This window comes from Homo sapiens, chromosome 11 (assembly GCF_000001405.40).
Source record: "Homo sapiens chromosome 11, GRCh38.p14 Primary Assembly".
In the NCBI taxonomy this organism is placed as follows: Eukaryota; Metazoa; Chordata; class Mammalia; order Primates; family Hominidae; genus Homo; species Homo sapiens.
Window position 1 is genome coordinate 61,304,975 of NC_000011.10, and position 17,585 is coordinate 61,322,559.

Below are 17,585 nucleotides of genomic sequence, written 5' to 3' on the forward strand. Positions count from 1 at the left end.
TTTATCATCAGTAGACAAATGGAGAGCTACTTGGCACGGCCCAGTGCTAAAGAAGACAGACTCAACCCATCTGAACTGACAAGCCTCCCCTGGCAGATCCTTCAGGATCCAGATAATCCCCATGGCCTCTGCACATCTAGAAACTCCTGGGCAGAACATATTAATCAAACCACAATTTCTCAAGATTTGTCCAAAGAACCCTAGCTACACAGGAATATATTCCAAGAATCATTTGTAATAATTACAATGGTTGGCGGGGCGCAGTGGCTTACGCCTGTAATCCCAGCATTTTGGGAGGCCAAGGCAGGCGGATCACGAGGTCAGGAGATCGAGACCATCCTGGCCAACGTGGTGAAACCCCATCTCTACTAAAAATATAAAAATCAGCTGGGCATTGTGACGTGTGCCTGTAATCCCAGCTACTCGGGAGGCTGAGGCAGGAGAATCTCTTCAACCAGGGAGTCGGAGGTTGCAGTGAGCCAAGACTGCGCCATTGCACTCCAGCGTGGCGACAGAGTGAGACTCCATCTCATAAATAAACACATACATACATACTATGGTTACCACACCTCTATCACAGGGTAAAAGGTACCTCCAGAGTGCCCCGTCTTCAGGTAAGCCCACCTTGCTGGGCCTCCACACCTCCAACAGAAAGAGTGAAGCGGGGGGCCTCAGAGCTCCACATGTTCCTGCCAACACCTGCCACCACTCTCTCTCCACACTCTCAACCTCCCCATCGCCTTGGAGAGAGTCAAGACTAAAGCCAGACACCACCAGAAGGCCAAGACTCCCATTCTCTTCCCAAAAGGCTGTAGACTTCCACTGTCCAATATGGTAGTCACTAGCCACACATGGCTATGAAACACTTGAAATGTGCCTAGTCCATGTTGAGATGTGTTCTGACTATAAAATACACACCAGATTTTGAATTATTAGTATGAAAAACTGTAAAATATCTTAATAAGCATTTTTATACTGATTACATGTGGAAATGCTAATATTTTAGATATTGGGTTAAATAAAATACCTTATTCATTTCACCTGCTTCTTTTTGCATTTGTTAATGTGGCTACTAGAAAATTCAGAATGACATACATCGCTCATATAATATTTCTATTGGCTGGCAACAGAACAGATATGTCCTCACCTGACCTCAAATGCCACCCTCCACCCTCCTGATCCCTGTGCCCACTCACTGCACCCTCTGGAACACAGTCATTAACCATGGACAGCCACTTCTCTGGGCAAACCCTTCACTTCATTCTAACTCATATCCATGGCTCTTTCCTAAGGGCCTTGTGGCCCTCTTAACTTGTCTGTTTTCTCTTCCACTGTCCCTCATAGCACTGGAACAGGAGGTAGCACAGTCTCCCAAGCTCCTCGTCTGCTCTTTCAGACTTGTCACTCCCTCCCCTGAAACACCACAGTTTTAAGGCTCACACCACCAGACCACACAACCACCATCACCCACTAAAGCAGTCACCTGAATCCCCAACCCACCCATCACTCTCTCCCACACAACCTCCTATAAGTCTTGATGACTATAATATTCACAGAGAAGGTCCTTCTAATACCCTCACCTCTTAGCTTTTCTGACCCCTTCTTTCCCACTTACTTTGTCCATTCTTATGACCACCTCTTAAAGCCTGGCATTACAAGTAACTGCACTCTTCCTGAATCTCGTGTCCTCCGCTCTGCCTCTTCTCAGATGCTCATAGTCCACCACCATAATCACATAATAACTGTCTTGCAGATTCCAACGCCCTGACCCCTCTCCCCTTTCTCATGCTCACCTAACAAAACTCGACTTGTATTAAATTTTCATCTTCCACTCCAGGTAAGGAAAACCAACCAACAGGATGACTGTTCTTTTACATTCAAGACGACTAACTGAAAGGGGGTTCCTAAACCTCTCAGAAATAATGCATTTTCCTACTCCTCTCACTCTTCTGGTCCTAAAACAATGAATTCATCCCTTTTCCACTCTACTCAAATTGCCAATACCTCCTTCCCATCTTCTCTCTCAGCAATTTCACAGAGAACAGAGACACAGCCAAAAGGGCATTTCCATGAACTTCCACATCTGTTCCCTTCTCTGTCACTCGGTTTGAGATCCCACCTCCTTTTGCCTGGCCAAGAACAATGGCTCTCTTTCTAACATCAGTCCCATCAGCATAGAAAACATGCAGCAGTGTTTCCCAGCTTGAAAAATTAAAAACAGAAAATTCTTATCCTGAAATTTCACTGTCCACATCACTCTGTCCTTTACTGCAAAACTCCTTGAGGGGTTTTCTGTACCAGCTTCCTTTCCTCCTACTCTCCGCTGAGGCGACTGCAATCAGGTTTCTAGCCCCACCACTCAACCAAGAGCTCTGATCAAGTTTACCACTGACTTCCATGTTACTAATCTTTATGTTACCTGACCTGCCAGCAACACTTGGAGTTTACCAATTCCCTCCTGCTTCAGATAACTTTTTCTCCATGGCTTCCAGAACACTATTCTCTCGGTTCTCCTCCTACTTCACAAGTCACCCTTTGTTTGGCTGGATCTTCACCCTATCTCTGAAATGCTGGACAGCTCCTAGGGCTATCTTCAGATCCTGTCTCTATGGGCTCTCAGCACATGGGTGGTCTTAGGTGATGTCATCCAGACTTTCAGCTTTAACTGCCATGCTAGTATCTCCAGTGTACCTCTTCCCTGGATTCCATACCTCTCTCATTGTTATCTAGTGAACATCTCCACTTAGATAACCACTGAAACTGAGTATATCCAGAACCTCTGGTTTCCACTCCAAACCTGCTGCACTATCTTTCCCATCAGTAAATGGCAAAGCCAAAACCCGACCCTTTATTCCTCTGCCTCTCACATCTCATCTTCAATCTATCACCAAAGTCCTTCAATCCTACCCTCATAACATAAGCAGAATGTGACTACTCTTATTCCTCTCCTCCATCACCACCTGGTCCCAGCAACCACCGAATGCATCCAGATTACTACAAGAGCCTCCCCTAACTGACCTCTTATACCGCTGCTTCTACCCCTGCTCCCCTACAGTCTTTCCAGAGAAGCAACATGACCTTTTGAAAATACAAGTTCAATCATGTTCAAACCCTTGCTCAAACCCTCCAGAGGTTGCCATCATGCTCTGAATAAAACCCTGATATGGCCTACCAGGCTCTGCACGTTCTGGCCCCTGGCTGTCCCTTGGACTCATCTCTCACCAGAACACCAGCTCAGTCCCCACAGACACCAGGCCCGCCCACTCTCACCTATGACCTACCACCCCTTGCACTTGTCTTCCCCAAGCACAGGTAGGGTTCTTACCTCCCTTCATTTTGGAATCTGCTCAAATGCCACTGTGTATCCACAAGACCCTCCCGACCATGTGATATGAAACAGCAAACCCCACTTCCCACATTCATCCTGGCATTCCTCCAGTCCTGCACCCCTTTTACTTCTCACCATTTCACGTACTATGTACTTTATTTGCTCATAAACTCCAAAAGGGCAGCTCATTGTCCATTTTGTTTGCTGCTATCTCCCTACTCCAAAACATCAAGTTGTCCATTTTCGATATACAAAATTTTTGTCAACTATACCTCAATAAAGATGGAAAAAAACTTTTTAGCAAGGGAGGAGGTAGGGTCATGGCATAAGCAGTGGAATATTTCAAAGGACTAGCTTTCAGGAATGCACTCAGGATATTCTGATTTGGCTCATTTTCTTTTGGCATGGAACATCCTACGTGCAGGGACCATAGGTCTCACTCGTTTCTCAAGTCCCACAGCACTCAGGATCTGAAACACATGGGGGTTCACGTAACCTAGTCTAATGCGTGGTTCAACCTCAGTTTCCGAGATTCTCAACTCAGAGCTCTATCCTCCACACCCGCTACTTTGTTCTCCTTCAGATCTGACACACACGTGGCCCCAGACAACCTAAGAGAGACACATTCTGCAGACAATGATGGGCAGCCTAAAGTAAGTACCAAGTGGTCCAGGCCTCACCGTGCTATTGATGCTGGCTAACAGCTTCCCGTTAAATTCCACCATAGAGTACACGGCCCCTTTCACTTCCTTTTCAGCCACAGTCTGTAGTTTTCCTGGGGGTGGAAAAAATATGTTTGAGTCTCTATGAGCCCACACTTTACCTCATCAAAAGAATCCTCTGGTTGCCCCTGTGGTACAAATTCTTGCCCCCCAAAACCACTCATCTAAAAAAACAACACAGACTCAGTATCTACTGGAGTTAATGACCACGTGAAGTATGAGCCCCAAGATAATGTGCAGAGAAATCCAGTTGGTATCTAGGATCTGCCCCCTCGCCCTGAAACTCTAGATCTCTCTCTCAAGATGGAAACCAGATCCCATTTCAGCTATCTGATCTGAGATTTCCGGGCTGATAGTCTTTAGAGCCATCTTGGGTGGGTGTAACGAGAAAAGATATTAAAATATAAACACAGAGTTGAAGCTGGAAAGAGCACCTAAATGCCTGAGCAACCAAGTGGAAAACAAACCTAAGATTCTGAATTTTTATACCTGTTGTCACTAGATTCCCTTACCCATCGTTCACTTCTCCCACCCCTCCCTTTTGTTCTTTTGGCCTTTCAAAGAGTAGCAAAGAAAGAAATGTAAGCTAAATTTTACTGTGTACTGTTCACATGCTCCAAAATTCAATCAAATAAAGAAGAGAATAGCTCTTTACAGCAATGAACCCAACTTCTTCTACTGCTTAACTGAGGCTCTCTGAAACCTCACAATGGCCTGCTGACTTTCTCAGCATTTCACATCCCTCAGAAACTGGAGACTGCGCCCACTTACCATCCGAATACTGAAAGACCACAATGCGACCCTGCTTGGGCTCTGCCTCTTCAGGATACACCATTGCTGTGCCCACAATGAAGTAAGTGTTGGGGTCTTTGCCCAGCTTGCAGGAAACCAGACTGAGGGCATATTCATTCTGCAGAAACTGGTGGGCATGAAGCACTAGAGAGTAGAGAGATGACTACGTGATGACAGGTTACCCATATCTGCACGCACACATAACCCCGTATTTCTGAGGCCTGTGGCTTAGGCAGTGACAAAGCGTGTACCACCTGCTGTCCCTGTCTCATCAGATTATCCATCCCCCACCAGCCTAAGCTAAGGAGAGGATGCCCAGCCCTCCAAACTCACTGCCATCTCACAGAATTCCCACCCCTCCTTTCTGCTCCTCCTAGGACAGTCTGCCACATCTGTCAGGCTTTGCAGGTACCAGAGCCCAGAACAGCCTGGATTAGGGAGGGCGTAGATAAAAATTATCGAAAGAGCTCATGTGCACCTTCAAAGGTGTGTTGGTCAATGATAAGTAGGTTGTGCACCTCCACCTCTTCTCCAAAGGAGGTCTCATGAGGAGCAGTGCTGCTGGAGAACAGCTTGCTGGAGCTTACACTGCTGGACAGAGCCTGCAAACAGAGAGAATGCACATCATCCTTCTCAAACACAGAAGAAGTGCTGAGACATCATTGTGAAGGGACCCGTCAGATCAGGACACAAAGGCTGCAGCTAGCCAAGAACTCTGATGGCTGGCAGCTCAAGGAGCCTGAGGAGAGTGTTTCAGAGGAGGCATGTAGTTGAAACATCAATCCCAAACAGTAAAAATCTAAGGGTCATTAAAGACAAAACAGTGATGCTTCAAGTCAATCAAGCACAGCTAAAAAGGAACTCAGGTGACCTAATGGGGACAGACTCCACTACCCTCAATGGGAAGAGGAGGGGGGCACTTCAAATAAAAACAGAAGCCATGAAGACTTCAACTCTGGACTACGGAGGGAGGTCCTATCGCAGATATGTGGAAACATGAAAGGCAGAGAATACATGGAAGAAAATGACCAGCTGGTATCACCACTGAGCCTAGTATGTGTAGCTCCAGACTGTTATCTGCCTCATTCTGCAGATAAGAAAACTGAAGTTTAGGCTTTCCCAAGGTCACACAGCTAGCAATAAACCTGGAAGCCAGGCCAGGCACAGTGGCTCACGCTTGTAATTCCAGCACTTCGGGAGGCCGAGGCAGGCAGATCACAAGGGCAAGAGTTCGAGACCAGGCTGGCCAACACAGTGAAACCCCATCTGTACTAAAAATACAAAAATTAGCTGGGCATGGTGGCACGCGCCTGTAATCCCAACTACTCAGGAGGCTGGGCCAGGAGAATCGCTTGAACCTGGGAGGTAGAGGTTGCAGTGAGCCGAGATCGTGCCACTGCACTCCAGCCTGGACGACAGGGTGAGACTCCGTCTCAATAACAAACATAACATAACATAACATAACATAACATAACATAACATAACATAACATAACATAACATAACACATAACATAACATAACATAACAAACATAACACATAACATAACATAAAACATAACATAAAACATAACATAACATAACATAACATAAACCCAGTAGGCACTTTTGAAAAGCTGGTTTCTGTCTTAAAAAAAAAACAAACAAACAAACCTGGAAGCCCGTTCTGTCGGACTCCAAACCCCATGTTCCTCCTCTATTCGACCACTCTACAAAGGACCCAAACTGATGGTGACAGATGCTGCAAGGCCACCAAGTAGGAACTGTTTTTTAAAAATAAACTTTTATAGAAGCCAGCTATGCTCACCTGTTGCCTACAGCTGCTTTCAGGCTACGATGGCAAAGTTGAACAGTCAGTGGTAACTGAGACCACACTGCCTGCAAAGCCGAAAGCCTTCACTACCTGGCCTGTACAGAAAGCTTGCTGGCCCCTGCTCTAAGGTCATCTTTCTTTGTCCACTGCCCTTACCTGGGTGCTAGCGCTGGGCCTCAAGGCTGTCGTGCCCCCACTCGTGTCTTGGACTTCAATGCGGCTGGAGAGGACCCCGAAACACTGGGACACTTCCTGGTAGCAGATCTTCCTGCAGAACAAGTACAGAACAACAGTGTCACTTAGAAAGTCAGAAGCACCCTACACCAACCCCCACTTCCCACTCTCCCACCCTGGGCCTCACCTTGGAGACTCATAGAGGGGAACTGTGCGAATGTGCAGCTTCTGGATCTCATCGATGGTGCCAATGGTGAGGGTGCTATTGTTGGCCAGCGCCAGGCTGGAAAGAAGGGTCTGGGTTTAGACTGAGGAGACTCAAGGAAGGCAAAGATTCTATGAGGCAACTCCACAGAGGAAGAAAAACAAGGCAGGATTACACCAGCTTTGACTCCATGCTAAACATCACCTGGAGAGACAGACAATTCTGATTCCTGGTCCCATCCACAAGATACTCTTATTTCATTGGTCTGGGTGAGCCTAGGCTGAGATTTTTAACAGCTTTCCATTTAATGATAATGTGCAACCAGTTAAAAAAATCAACGCTCCAGGAATGTGACTTTCAAACTACTGCCTGTGTCAGAGTTGGCTGGAGGGCTTGTCAAAACAGTCTGCTGGGCCCCCTCCCAGAGTTTCTGATTCTGTGAGTCAGGGTGGGGCTTGAGCATCTGCATTTCTTTCTTTTCTTTCCTCTCTCTCTCTCTCTTTTTTTTTTTTTTTTTTTTGAGACAGAGTCTCAGCTCTGTTATTCAGGCTGGAGTGCAGCGGTGAAATCTAAGCTCACTGCAACCTCCACCTCCCAGTTTCTTTTTTTTTAAGACAGTTTTTTTTCTTGTCACCAGGCTGGAGCGCAATGGTGGGATCTTGGCTCACTGAAAACTCTGCCTCCTGGGTTCAAGTGATTCTCCTGCCTCAGCCTCCTGAGTAGCTGGGATTACAGGTGCCTGCCACCACACCCGGCTAACTTTTGTATTTTTAGTAGAGATGGGGTTTCGCCATGTCGGCCAGACTGGTCTCGAGCTCCTGACCTCCGGTGATCCACCCACCTCAGCCTCCCAAAGAGCTAGGATTACAGGCATGAGCCACTGCACCCAGCAACCTTCCAATTTCAAGGGAATCTCCTGCCTCAGCCTCCCAAGTAGCTGGGATTACAGGCACACACCACCATACCTGGCTAATTTTTGTATTTTTATTAGAGACAAGGTTTCACCATGTTGGCCAGGCTGGTCTCAAACTCCTGACTTCAAATGATCCTCCTGCCTCGGCCTCCCAAAGTGCCGGGACTACAGGTGTGAGCCACCATGCCCAGCCAGAGAATCTGCATTTCTAACAAGTTCCCAAGTAATGCTGTAGCTGCTGGTTGGGGACACCCTTTGAGAATTCCTGCTCTAGAGGGACACAAAATGATCTCTAAATTAGGGATTATGAAACAGTCATCTGAATCACCTGATAAGTTTTCTGAAAATACAGATTCCAGAGCTCAACCTCAGACCCACTGAGGATTCCAAAAATCCTGTAGTTTTAAAAAACTTCCCAAGTGTTTCTATTGGGTAGCCAGTTTTGAGAACCTCTGCACTATACTTCCCATCTCAGTTATGATTTTGACACCGGAAAAAGGCTTTGAGGTAAGGGTTTGAGGAAAACATCATGACCCCCTCAATCAATAGCTCTCATTAAATAAGGAAAAAGAGACTCACCTGTCAGGATAGCCATCTGAATTGAGGGGACACATGTAGTTCACTTCCTTGAGGTTGACATTTGAGAAGACCAATTTGTGGTTGCTGCTATAGATGACAGTGGGGCGGTCAGAACAAGCAAAGACGTTGGTGGTAGAAAGAGAACGAAAAGTCCTCAATACGGTGGGCTGGGTGCCCAAAGTCACCTTCTTACGGTCGCTCAACAGACCTACAGAGAGAATGACATCAGGAGAAAGGAAGAAAGAAAACAGGACAAAAAGCTGGCCTGTGAAAGTTCAAAAGCAGAACCCTGGGACTAAGAATTCTGTGTAATTCTAATACTCTATTTTTGAAAGAGTCCCTCACTCAAAATACTACTCTCACCTGTCTCAATGTTGAGCCCAAAGTAGAAAAGCGCTCCATCTCCCAAGGCACAAAGGAGGTAATGGCTACTCTCAAAGGTGGTCATCAGGATGGAGCGAGGAATGATCTCTGTGAGAAAGGGGGACATTATGTTCTTGTTCCACATTTTGACTCTGTCCCAACCCAGGTCCCTAAATGACACATACCTCCACCCAGCATCTCCTTGTGCAGTAGTTCAAAAGAGGGCAACTTCAAGATACGAGCCGAGATGTCCGTCCAGAGGCCAATGGCACAAAGAGGGGACAGTCCATTGCTGTCTCCTAATGGGGTGATGTCCAAGCAAGCCACTTCATGTTCCATCTCTGTGTGGCTGAACAAAGAAGAATATGGCAGAGGAAGGAATCCAAGGCTCAAAGAAGTCCTAGAGAAAAGAGGAGGAAAGCGAGCAGACAGAAAAACACACACACCTGATCTGCCGGAGCTCCTGAGGATGGATCTGCAGATAGTAGAGGGCCCTGCCTACAGCCACCACCACCTGGCTGCTATTGCAGGAGGCCACACTGATGTTCTTGGCCTGAGGCTCCTTCCATTCACTGACCAGAGCTTTGGGTTCTTGAGAGACCAACCTCACCGATGCTGAAGTGATCTAGATAAACAGCAGATGAACAAATGTCTCCAAGCATCTGCCAGGGTCCACACAGGAGTGGAAAGGTGGTAAATGCAGCCCTAATAGAGCCCTACGAATAAGCTACATGAGGCTTCTATTTCTTATTCCCCAAAGTCCTGCTAATGATTACAATAGATGTCATTTTTGCATGAATGCCTGAAGGAGGCCAGCTTAAAAGTAGCTTACAGCTTACAAACCTACAGCTGGTGGGGAAAAGGCCTATTTCATTCTAATTGAGACTTACTTGGGTAATACAAACTGCATCCTGTGGGAAGATATGAATAGAGTAAGACCCTGTGACCACCAGTTTTTTGGCTTTTTTTTTTTTTTTTTTTTTTTTGGGACAGAGTCTCTCTCTGTTGCCCAGGCTGGAGTGCAGTGGTGCAATCTCAGCTCACCACAACCTACGCCTCCCAGGTTCAAGCCATTCTCCTGCCTCAGCCTCCCAAGTAGCTGCGATTACAGGCGCATGCCACCATGCCTGGTTAACTTTTGTTTTTTGAGTAGAGATGGGGTTTCACCATGTTGGCCAGGCTGATCTTGAACTCCTGACCTCATGATCCACCTGCCTTGGCCTCCCAAAGTGCTGGGATTACAGGCGTGAGCCACCATGTTGACTGTGACCACCAGTCTTAGCAGTTTTTCTCAACCCCCAAATCAGACCTCTAAAATATCTAAGTTCTTTACTGTGTATGAGCCATTTAAATTATTTAAAGTTCCTTAGTAAAGATTACAAAATTGTATAGAAATATATTGTATAAATTTATCACTGAAATAAAACAGGAAGTAGGTTGGTGACACTGTTATCTATTCATTCATCTTACCTAGCACAATTGAGTTTATATATAAGGATGAAAGCTCTTTAATAATAAATAGGTGAGCTGGTGCCAGTCTTCAGGCCAATAGTTAGATAACACTGACAAAGCAATGACTCAGTATCTGGGCACGTCCCACACTTGGTCTGCAAACTGACAGAACTTTCCCTCCGGTTTTACCAATCTACCACTGCCAGGTGGCTAAAAGGAAAACCAGGTGGATAAAAAGACAGAGACAGTTCATTAATCCTTAGGCACTCCAGTGCCCTACCCACCAAAGGCAAGACAGACTCTGGCCACAGAGTGAAGAACAGCTCAGAAGGTAAGGAGAGAGTGCTAAAAGCTGAAGGATGTCAGGGTCACTCCAAACTTCAAAAAATTGCTGAGGGGTGGAAGGGTGTCAGAAATGAGGCTCTCGTGGATAACAATATGCCAGAAGGCTATCTGCCCCCGTATTGCAGATAGATTGAAAGTAAGGATCAGAATAGGGTAAGCTTCGGTTATAATTAGTATGTGGAAAGGGCTGCCAAGAGTCATATTGGATGGTAGCATCATGATTTTTTCTTTTTTTGTGCATTTTGGCATTTTCTAATTTTATAAATAAGGATGTATCACTAGTTTAACAAAGGGAAAAAATTTGAGTGTCTCGGAAGATATAATTAGTGCTAAAATAGGATCCGAAACTATATTTTTATGTTTATATATATAATGACCCGAGTCTATAAAAGAAAATGTAAATAAATACACAGACATTTGCAGAAGAAAAATAAAGCTAAAAGGAGCAACTCTAAGGTTAAGAGTTGTGATCTCTGAGTAGTGGATTATCTGTAATTTTTTCCCTAGAATTTTTACATTATTTTTGGAGCCATAAAAATTGGTTGTTTTAAAATCCAGTGGTGCTCTGTACTGCATCTAGGTCAATTCAAGTATATGGTAACACCTGCCCCTTTCTCAGTTATCACCTGGATAAGCTGCTGATGAGCCACGTTGCCACAGAAGAAAGTCTGCTGATCATCCACGAAACCCATCAGTTCGGTTTCTTCTACCTCCTCTCCATTTAACATGAGAACTCTGCAGCAGAATGGAGGGCCTGGGTCAGCCTGGGACCAGCTTCCCCACCTCACAACCTTCTCACCAGCACCTACAGCTGGCACTAGACCCATCCTTACCTTGTCTGGCCCACAAAAGAGAGCACCAAAGTGTCATCAGTCTCACGATTAGGGTCAGACCGCAGTGGCCATAATCCTGGAACAAGGACCAAGGATTCAGATGCATAGGACAGACCAACACTTAGCATGCATATCTACGGACAGGGCAGGCCAGGGGCAGTGGCTCATGCCTATAATCTCAACACTTGGGAAGGCAGAGGCAGGAGGACTGCTTGGAACCAGGAGTTCTAGACCAGCCTGGGCAAAATGGAGAGACCTTGTCCCTGCTAAAAATACAAAAGAACTTGCTAGGTGTGGTGGCACAAAACTATAGTCCCAGCTACATGGGAGGCTGAGGTGGGGGGATTGCTTAAGATTAGGAGAAAGAGGCTGCAGCTATGATCATGTCATTGCACTCCAGCCTGGGTGACACAGCAAGATCCTGTCTCAAAAAAAAAAAAAAAAAAAAAGGATAGATATATATATATATATATATATATATATATATATATATATATATATATATATAGACATGGCAGCCTGACACCACTGGAAGGGCTGGAACATGGAGTCCTGAGCTGGAACCCCCTCTCTGCTCCTTCTTGGTTTTAAGGCTCTAAAAAGTTAAATAGTTTTGTTTTGTTTGTTTGCTTGTTTTTTTTGAGACGGAGTCTCGCTCTGTCACCAGGCTGGAGTGCAGTGGCCCGATCTCAGCTCACTGCAAGCTCCACCTCCCGGGTTCACACCATTCTCCTGCCTCAGCCTCCCGAGTAGCTGGGAAGGCAGGTGCCCGCCACCACACCTGGCTAATTTTTTGTATTTTTAGTAGAGACAGGGTTTCACCATGTTAGCCAGGATGGTCTCGATCTCCTGACCTCGTGATCCGCCACCTTGGCCTCCCAAAGTGCTGGGATTACAGGCGTGAGCCACCACGCCGGGCCAAAAGTTAGATAATTTTAAAGCTGTTTTGAGCCTATTTTAAATTTGGGATTGGATATACATTTCCATGACCCAAAGTCTAAATTTATTTATTTATTTATTTACTTATTTATTTGAGACGGAGTCTTGCTCTGTCACCCAGACTGGGGTGCAATGGCACGATCTCGGCTCACTACAACCTCCGCCTCCCGGGTTCAAGCGATTCTCCTGCCTCAGCCTCCTGAGTAGCTGGGACTACAGGTGCGTGTCACCACGCCTGGCTAATTTTTTCTATTTTTAGTAGAGACAGGATTTCACCGTGTTAGCCAGGATGGTCTCGATCTCCTGACCTCATGATCTGCCCACTCGGTCTCCCAAAGTACTGGGATTACAGGTGTGAGCCACTGTACCCAGCCTAAATTTATTTTTTAAAAGTACACAGAAAAGTCTCATTCCCATACCTCCCTCCAACCCATCCCCCAAACAAGTAATCAATAAAGGCATCTTGTTTAGCCTTCTGGTAAAGAGATGGGGTGTGGGAGGATCTTGCTATGTTGCTCCAGTCTGGCCTCGATCTCCTGGGCTCAAGTGATCCTCCCACCTCAGCCTCCTGAACAGTAAGGACTACAGGCCCACTATGCAACACTAAGCTTAATTTTTTTTACTTTAAGGAAATAGAGTATTACAAACAAATGCAAATATAAAATAGTCTATCATGCACTATTTGGCACCTTGTTCTTTCATTGAACAATATATGCTTGAAGCCCTTATCAGAACACAGTATTTAATTGTGTAAATCATTTATCTATAATTATTAAATTATGCAGATTAACAAATCCCTTCTCATTATATTTATTCAGTATTTTGCTATAACATACAATGCCACAAGAAATAAGCTTGTATTTTTATGTCACTTTATACATATAAAGGTCAGGTAGAGGCTCAGAACTGGGACTACTAAGTAAATCGCTAACTGCTGTCTTTGATATTGCCCAATTCCCTTCTATAGAGGATGCACAAGCATGTTTATTTTCTCACAGCCCGACCAACATAATGTGTGGTCAAACTTCTGGATTTTGGTCATCTAGTAGAGTACTGCTGTTTGGTGTTAATGTGCATTTCTCAGGACTGTTGCCTGTCCATTCATGTCCTTTGCTAGTTTGGGGACAGAAAATTTAGTGATCTTTCTATAAATATGTTATAAATTAGGAAGACTGGGCCTTTTGTCTATAAGATGAACTACAGAATATTTTTATCTGGTTTGTCATTTCTTCTGACTTACCTAATAGTGTTTTGTTTTGCTTTTGCTATGAAGTGTTTTATTTTTATATAGTTGGAATTTATCAATCTTTCTTTTTGGCTTCTGTACTTTGAGTCATAGTTATGGCTTCATTTTTTTACATTAAGTTTTTCAACCATTTAGATTCTAGCCAAGTGTACATTTGGCAGGCAGTATGAACCCAAACTTGTCTTTTCCCAAATGACTATCAATTATCCCAAAAACACCATTTATTAGGTCCCAACTTTAGGCTAGGCTCAGTGGCTCATGCCTGTGATTACAGCACTTCAGAAGGCCAAGGCGGGAGGACCGCTTGAGCCTAGGAGTTTGAGACCAGCCTGGGCAACATAGGGAGACCCTGTCTCTACCTCTACCAAACACAAACAAAATTAGCCAGGCGTGGTGGCGCATGGTTGGAGTCCCAGCTACTGGGAGGCTGACATAGAGAAGATCTCTTGAACCCAGGATATTGAGGCTATGGTAAGCCGTGATCATGCCACTGTACCCCAGCCTGGGTGACAGAGTGAGACCCTATCTCAAAAAATGAATACAAATAAAAATTTAAAAAGTCCCAACTTTACTCACTGAACTGAGAAGCCACCACTATCATACACTGAATTTCCACATGTAATTATGTCATTTCTGGACTTCTGAATCTGCCCATTAGACTCTGCCTATTCATCAGCAATACTACACTTCTAATTATAGAGGCTTAACAGTATGCTTCAGTATCTGGTAGGGCTAACATGTCTCACTGCTTTCTTTTTTTTTCTTTTTTTTTTTGAGATGGAGTCTTGCTGTGACGCCAGGCTGGAGTGCAGTGGCACGATCTCGGCTCACTGCAACCTCCGCCTCCTGGGTTCAAGTGATTCCCCTGCCTCAGCCTCCCGAGTAGCTGGGACTACAGGCACGCGCCACCACCCCCGGCTAATTTTTTGTATTTTAGTAGAGATGGGGTTTCACCATGCTGGCCAGGATGATCTCGATCTCCTGACCTTGTGATCTGCCCGCCTCGGCCTCCCAAAGTGCTGGGATTACAGGCATGAGGCATTGCGCCCGGCCTCTCATTGCTCTTTTTAAAGTTTTCCTGGTTATGCCTGCTTCTTCCTTTTTCCATTTGGACTTGTCTAAGTCAAGGAAACATTGTATACATATTCAGGTACATTAAATATAAAGAGAGAACAGCTTTATAATACTGATTTGCAGTACTTGGTGTGTCTTTTTCGTTTGATCAACTTGTTCTTTTCCTCCTTCAGGAGTATCTTTAAGTTTTCCTTGTATAGGTTTTGCACAATTTTGTTAAATGTACTCCTTGGTACTTAATCATTTTCTTGTTATGGTAAATTGCCCCCTTTCCTCTACTATGCTTTCTAATTGACTGTGTTTACATGAAAGCTATTAATTTCAGTACATTACTTTTACATCCTGCTATCTTAGTGAATTTGTATTGTCTATAGTAGTTTTTTAGTTGATTATCTTGGGTTTGTAGTTATATGATCTCTTCCTTTGCAATTTCATATACTTCTCTTTTCTTTTTTTCTTTTTTTTTTTGAGATGGAGTCTCACTATGTGGCCCAGGCTGTAGTGCAGTGGCGCAGTCTCAGCTCACTGCAACCTCCGCCTCCCAGGTTCAAGTGCCTCTCCCGTCTCAGCCTCCCGAGTAGCTGGGATTACAGGCACCCACACCATGCCTGGCTAATTTTTTGTATTTTTAGTAGAGACAGGGTTTCACCATGTTGGCCAGGCTGGTCTCGAACTCCTGGCCTCAGGTAATCCACCCACCTCAGCCTCCCAAAGTGCTGGGATTACAGGTGTCAGGCAACATGCCTGGCCATACTTCTATTTCTTTATTGACCTTTTCCCATACTTTTTTTTTCATATTCTGAATTACTCCTTTTTTTAAATTGAGATGGGATCCTGCTATGTTGCCCAGGCTGGTCTCAAACTCCTGGACTCAAGCAATCCTCCTGCCTCAGCCTCCCAAGTGGCTAGGACTACAGTCACACGCCACTGCACCTACCTTCAGAATTACTCTTTTAAAGATGTGCCTCCTATATACAACTTTAAGGTGGTTTTGTTTTATGATTTAATCTGATTATGCTGTCCTCAAACAGGACATTTACATTTACTGACATGACAGCTATGTTCCATATCAATTCTGTCATACTGTTTTAGGTTACGCTTATACATTCTAAATGTCTTTCACTGTGTAGCCTCTCTTTTTTTTTTTTTTGGTGACACAAGGTCTCATTGTCGCCCAAACTAGAGTGCAGTGGCACAATCATGGCTCTCTACAGCCTCAACCTCCTGGGCTCAAGTGATCTTCCACCTAGGCTAGAACCAAGTAACTGCAACCACAGGCATGCACCATCACCCCTGGCTAATTTTTAATTTTTTTTATAGAGATGAGGTCTACGTTGCCTAGGCTGGTCTCAAACTCCTGGGCTTAAGCAATCCTTCCACCTTGGCCTCCCAAAGTGCTGTAATGACAGGCATGAGCCACGCCACCTCGCCTAGCCTCTGATCTTTTTTTTATTAAAATTCTCCTGGAATTTAGGAAGATTTATATTTTTTATCTAGAAACCACATTTATACTTATATCTTCATAAAATATCCTCAGTCTCTCCTTTCTTTATGAATTCTATCGGTTGCCTCATATAAACAACATTAATTTTAATTTATAATCTTTTAATCCCCTAGTCCTCTATTCCACTACCAATTTTGATCAGTAGTATTTTCTTTTTTTTTTTTTTCTAAAGTTTACTTTTATACTTTCAGATATGTTTAAGCTTCTGATCTGTTGTTACGACTTTCACTCTTCACTTGATCTGCTTTCCTCTGGCTCCCACCAAAACGCCTTCACAACATGTAACAAGGCCAAAGTCCCTCATGTAAGATCTACATCCTATGCCCACCAAAAAAGCTACCTTTGATGCCTGGTAAGTCAATGCTGGCATGCTCGTGGATTCCAATTCCATTCCGGATGATCCGCAAAGAACCTTCCTTGAAAGCCCCAGAGCAAGTGACCAGCTGCAAGCAGAGAAAACGTTTCTAAAGAACCCCCTCAAGATACTGGGCCAGTCATACTGATGCCCAGAAAGTAAACACGGTATACCTAAATCCAAGAACCTTTATTGTGGGGCTAGGTTTGAGGATGCAGACTTGGCAGAGGTTGATTTCCAAAGTCTTTCAAATTTACAGAGCAGACAGGACATCCTAGTCCAGGAAGCAAAAAGCTTCTACCACTGCTCCTAGCAAGCTTGCTTAGATCGCTGGGACCTAGTTTACTAGAATGAGCACAGGATCTGTTAGATACACCTGCCACTTATTAAGTTAGGTGACTTTGGAAAAAGTTACTTAATCTTTCTCAGCCCTAATTTTCCTCACTTCTGAGATGGCCAAATATCCCTATCTAGGGTACTTGTGTAATTAGAGATAATGTATATAAAGTGCCTGGCAGACCAAGATAGGCACTCAATAAACAGTAGTTATCCTTATATCACTGGGATTCATGAGGGGGCTCTTAAAAGTATTTTCAGTGCACCCTCCCCATTCTAGATAAGCATAGCTAGGAGGACACAGTTTGAGTGGGCATATACCAACTATCCACTTTCAGAATGGCCCTTACCTGCCCCTGCCCCTGCCTCTCCAGGTCCACCACGCACATATCGACAATGGGTCCTAAGTTGGTAAAGGTTTCCATGGCCACTACATAGGAGCCTTGTTCATTACTGTCAACGTTGAGCTAATAAGAAAGAACAATGTTATGTTAGTCCTAGAACACCCTAACAGACCCACCCAAAAGAGATGGTTATTGTCCAAAAGAAACTCTCAATAACTAGTTTCTAGATCTGCCATTCTCATGTTCCAAGGGATGATTCCAGAAGGGGAC

The 17,585-nt window shown here is 44.7% G+C and overlaps 1 protein-coding gene across 1 annotated transcript in view; it reads right to left on the bottom strand.

Moving 5' to 3' along the window:
* The window catches only part of DDB1 (damage specific DNA binding protein 1), a 33,655-nt gene that overhangs the window by 5,524 nt on the left and 10,546 nt on the right, over nucleotides 1–17,585 (bottom strand). Inside the window, exons 9-21 of the mRNA NM_001923.5 lie at nucleotides 17,322–17,438; nucleotides 16,621–16,723; nucleotides 11,518–11,593; nucleotides 11,311–11,419; nucleotides 9,334–9,512; nucleotides 9,073–9,236; nucleotides 8,888–8,995; nucleotides 8,525–8,732; nucleotides 7,015–7,110; nucleotides 6,810–6,921; nucleotides 5,321–5,444; nucleotides 4,822–4,986; nucleotides 4,009–4,103 (exon numbers count right to left, since the gene is read on the bottom strand). Of these exons, the coding sequence (NP_001914.3) occupies nucleotides 4,009–4,103; nucleotides 4,822–4,986; nucleotides 5,321–5,444; nucleotides 6,810–6,921; nucleotides 7,015–7,110; nucleotides 8,525–8,732; nucleotides 8,888–8,995; nucleotides 9,073–9,236; nucleotides 9,334–9,512; nucleotides 11,311–11,419; nucleotides 11,518–11,593; nucleotides 16,621–16,723; nucleotides 17,322–17,438 (1,656 nt within the window). The remainder of the gene's footprint in view (nucleotides 1–4,008; nucleotides 4,104–4,821; nucleotides 4,987–5,320; nucleotides 5,445–6,809; nucleotides 6,922–7,014; nucleotides 7,111–8,524; nucleotides 8,733–8,887; nucleotides 8,996–9,072; nucleotides 9,237–9,333; nucleotides 9,513–11,310; nucleotides 11,420–11,517; nucleotides 11,594–16,620; nucleotides 16,724–17,321; nucleotides 17,439–17,585) is intronic.